This window comes from Homo sapiens, chromosome 10 (assembly GCF_000001405.40).
Source record: "Homo sapiens chromosome 10, GRCh38.p14 Primary Assembly".
Lineage (NCBI taxonomy): Eukaryota > Metazoa > Chordata > Mammalia > Primates > Hominidae > Homo > Homo sapiens.
Genome location: NC_000010.11, coordinates 133648499 through 133653127, shown reverse-complemented (window position 1 = coordinate 133653127; position 4629 = coordinate 133648499). Strand labels below are relative to the sequence as shown.

General features: G+C 44.1%; 1 annotated feature.

The window, feature by feature from the left end:
• Positions 3257–3457: a silencer, noted in NCBI's record as "peak1139 fragment used in MPRA reporter construct". NCBI's record gives its function as "represses an SCP1 promoter by STARR-seq MPRAs in K562 erythroleukemia cells {active_cell/tissue: K562}" and the evidence as "EXISTENCE:reporter gene assay evidence [ECO:0000049][PMID:32103011]".

The following is a 4629-nucleotide window of genomic DNA, read 5'->3' as shown; positions in this document are numbered from 1 at the left end:
TTAACAAATGGTGCTGAAAAAACTGGCTAGCCATATGCAGAAAACAGAAACTGCACCCCTTCCTTACACCTTAAACATTATCTCAAGATGGATTAAAGTCTTAAATGTAAAACCCCAAACCATAAAAACCCTAGAAGAAAACCTAGGCAATACCATTCAGGACATAGGTATGAGCAAAGACTTCATAACTAAAATACCAAAAGCAATTGCAACAAAAACCAAAATTGACAAATGAGATCTAATTAAAGAGCTTCTGCACAGCAAAAGAAGCTATCATCAGAGTGAAAGGCAACCTACAGAATGAGAAAATTTTTGCAATCTATCCATCTGACAAAGGTCTAACATCTGGAATCTACAAGGAACTCAAACGAATTCACAAGAAAAAAAAAACCATCAAAAAGTGGGCAGAGGATATGAACAGACTCTTCTCAAAAGAAGATATTTGACTGAGTGTGGTGGCTCACACCTGTAATCCCAGCACTTTGGAACGTGGAGGCAGGTGGATCATGAGGTCAGGAGTTTGAGACCGGCCTGGCCAACATGCTGAAATCTTGTCTCTACTGAAAATACAAAAAATTAGCCAGACATATTGGCAGGTGCCTGTAATCCCAGCTTCTCGGGAGGCTGAAGCAGAAGAATCACTTGAACCTGGGAAACAGATGTTGCAGTGAGCCAAGATCCTGCCACTGCATTCCAGCCTGGGTGACAGAGCAAGACTTTGTCTCAAAGAAGAAGAAGAAGAAGGAGAAGAAGGAGAAGAAGAAGACATTTATGTGGCCAAAAAATATTTTAAAAAAATCTCATCATCACTGGTTATTAGAGAAAGGCAAATCAAAACCACAATGAGATACCATCTCACGCCAGTTGGAATGGCAATTATTAAAAAGTCAGGAAACAACAGATGCTGGTGAGGCTGTGGAGAAACAGAAACGTTTTTACACTGCTGGAGGGAGTGTAAATTAGTTCAACCATTGTGGAAGACAGTGTGGTGATTCCTCAAGGATCTACAAGCAGAAATACCATTTGACCCAGCAATCCCATTACTGGGTATATATCCAAAGGAATATAAATCATTCTACTATAAAGACACATGCACATTTACGTTTATTGCAGCACTGTTTACAATAGCAAAGACTTGGAACCAACCCAAATGCCCATCAATGATAGACTGGAAAAAGAAAATGTGGCACATATACACCATGGAATACTATGCAGCCATAAAAAAGAATAAGTTCATGTCCTTTGCAGGGACGTGAGTGAAGCTGGAAACCATTATCCTCAGCAAACTAACACAGGGAACAGGAAACCAAACACCATATGTTCTCACTCATATGTGGGAGTTGAACAATGAGAACAGATGTACACCGGAAGGAAACATCACATGCTGGGGCCTGTTAGGGGGTTGGGGTCAAGGGGAGGGAGAGCATTAGGACAAATATCTAATGCATGTGGGGCTTAAAACCTAAACGGCAGGTTGACAGGTGCAGAAAACCACCATGGCACATGTAAACCTCTGTAACAAACCTGCACGTTCTGCACATGTATCCCAAAACTTAAAGTAAAACAAAGAAACAAACAAAAATACACTAACGCTCAGGGTGAGTGGGGCAGGGGCCGGGGTGGGGTGCGGATGGGTGGGTCCTGGCGTTTTATTCAATCAGTGGCGCTGGTGTGGGAACCACCCAATCGGGCGCACAGTTTGAGAAGAGAGGAGGGCGTGGCTTCCGGCGTTTGGCGGGGCCTTTGTCTCTCGCTGGTGCTGGTGCAGGAGCTTGGGATCCATCTCCTCTTTCGCCTCCTCCACCTTGGGAAATCCAGACAACTCCCTCACAGCCCCTGTTGCCCTGTGATCTGTAGGTCCTTGGGGACACACAGTTAAGGTGCTGTTACCATGGGGCGGTCTTTGCTCCCAGAGCGCCCAAGATGGTGGCGGGCCACTTCCATAATTTTGGCAGACCACTTCCAAGATGGTGGCAAGCCTCCTGTTCTCTGACCTGGGGCTCTTGGCCTCACGGATTCCAAGGAATGGAATCTTGAGCCATGCGGTGAGTGTTATAGCTCTATTAGAAGCTGTGGGTCACGGAAGAGAACCGTGGAACCCAGTGACTAGTGTTCAGCTTGATTAGGATGAACCCAGGCGCTTAGCTGTGCAGGAACAATGGCAAGCCTTTAGCCCGATCGGGAGTGGCAATGGATGCCTCGCTGGATCAGGAGCAGAGCGGACACCTTGCTAGCCAGGATGGTCTTGATCTCCTGACCTTGTGATCCGCCCGCCTCGGCCTCCCAAAGTGCTGGGATTACAGGTGTGAGCCATCGTGCCCAGCCAAGAACTGTCTTCACAACAACTGGTGCTGGGGAAATTAGGTACCCACATGTAAAAGAATGAACCTGGGCCCTTCACTTATACTGTAAGAAAAAATTAACTAACTGGATCAAATACCTAAATGTAAGAGCTAAAACTACAAAATTCTTAGAATAAAATATAGGGGAAACACGTCATAACACTGGATTTGGCAGTTTTTTTTTTAAAACAGGACACCCACAACACAAGAAACAAAAGAAAAATAGACGAATAGGAATCTATCCAGAATATGCAAAGAACAATTCAGCAACAATAAAACAAACTACTTGTTTAAAATATTGGCAAAAACTTAAGCAGACATTTCTCTAAAAATTATGTAAAGTAGCTAATAAGCACATGAAAAGACACTCAACAAAACTCATCATTAGTGAAATGCAAATCTAACCCCAAATGACATATCACTTAATACCCATCAGCATAGCTACTACCAAAAGAAAAAAAAAAAAAAACAGAAAATCCGAAGTGTTGGTGAGGATGTGGAGCAATTAGAATCCTTGTACACTGTTGGTGGAAATGTAAAATGCTGCAGCTGCTATAAAATAACAACACAGTAACTAAAAAATTTACACATAAAATCACCATACGATCCAGCAATTTCACATCTGGGTATGCAGCAAAAGATATGAAAGCAAAGACACAAAATAATATACATACACCTAGGTTCATAGCAGCATTACTCACATCACCAAAAAGGTGTTTGAATTACTCAACTGTTGTTTGAATTACCATCAATGATTAATAGATAAAATGTGATTTATACATAGAGTGGAATGTTATTCAGTTATGTAAAATAAGGAAATTCTGACACATGGTACGTCATGCATGAACCTTAAGGACATTGTGCAAAGTGACATGAGCCAGTCATAAAAGGACAAATACTGAATCATTCCACTTATGAGATACTTAGAGTAGTTAAATTCTAGAAACCCAAATAGAAGAGTGGTTCCTAGGAGCTAGAGGGGGAGTAACAAGGAGCTTATTTAATGGGTATAGAGTTTTGTTTCTGCAAGTTGAAAGAAGGTCCCTATGAGTGGTAATGACAGTTGCAAAACAATGTGAAAGTAGTTAATTTTTCTGAGCTGCACACTTAAAATAGCTAAAATGGCTAATTTTATGTATACTTTACCACAATGTAAAAAATAATTTTTAAATAAACTATAGCTATCTGCAATATCATGAATATCATAAATATAATGTTGCATAGAAGAAAGTAGATGTAAAAGTATACATATTACACAATCTCACTGATATAAAATCCAAAAAGTGAACACAACTGAGCTTCTGGCTTCCAGTAATAATGAAGTAAAGTAGTTTGTTGAACACTTCACAGATAACTATAACAAAGCTCTTTGGTCACAGGGCTGCAGCACTGCAATCCCAGCATGCACCAGGCTCAGGGAGAGTGCGCTAATCACTGGAGGAAGGGACGAGGCTCCGCGCCTCTCGCTGGTCTTGCTGGGAGATGCAGTCTCATAAACACTCCCAGCCCTTTGGTCACAGGGCTGCAGCACTACAATCCTAGCATGCACCGGGCTCCGGGAAAGTGCGCGTCACCGGAGGAAGAGGCAGGGCTGTGCGCGCCTCCCTAGGATTGTTGGAAGATGCATTCTCATAAACACTCCCAACCCTTTGGTCAAAGGGCTACAGGACTACAATCCCAGCATGCACCAGGCTCCAGCGCGAGGCGCAGCCCTGGAAGAAGGGGCAGAGTGGTACCCGCCCCACCTAATATGCTGGGAGCTGTAGTCCGTTACCTACTCTCAGCCTGTTTGTCGGTAAGCTTCAGAGCTATAATCCCAGCATGTACCGGGATCCGGGGTCCATAGCCCTGGAGGGAGGGGCAGAGCGGTGTGGACTTCCCGGTGTCCAAAGCACTGCTGAGTTCTGATGCTATGCCGACTCTTTGCAAGGAGAGTGAGTACAGAGGTGCACCTGGAGGGCAGGTCTGGGCTGAGCATTGAGGAGGGTATTACCCTACAAAGATACCTTACCTTTTCCCAAATCGGGCGGGTTGTCCTCACCCGCTTGGCCCTATCCTTCTCAGGTTCCTCTTTCAGTTGCACCCAGGGTTCTTTCCAGAGGAGTACGTCTTCTGCAGCCCAGGGTGCTGCCTTCTTTCCTAAACTGCGTGAGAACTTTCCTGATGTCCAAGACACTGTCCATTGTGCCGCAGCCCTCTTTTTTCTCTAGCCAGAGCACGCACTCAACCGTTTTTGAGAGAAATCTTCCACCTGGCCTGCTTGTGAGCAGCTTCAGAGCTCTGCAGG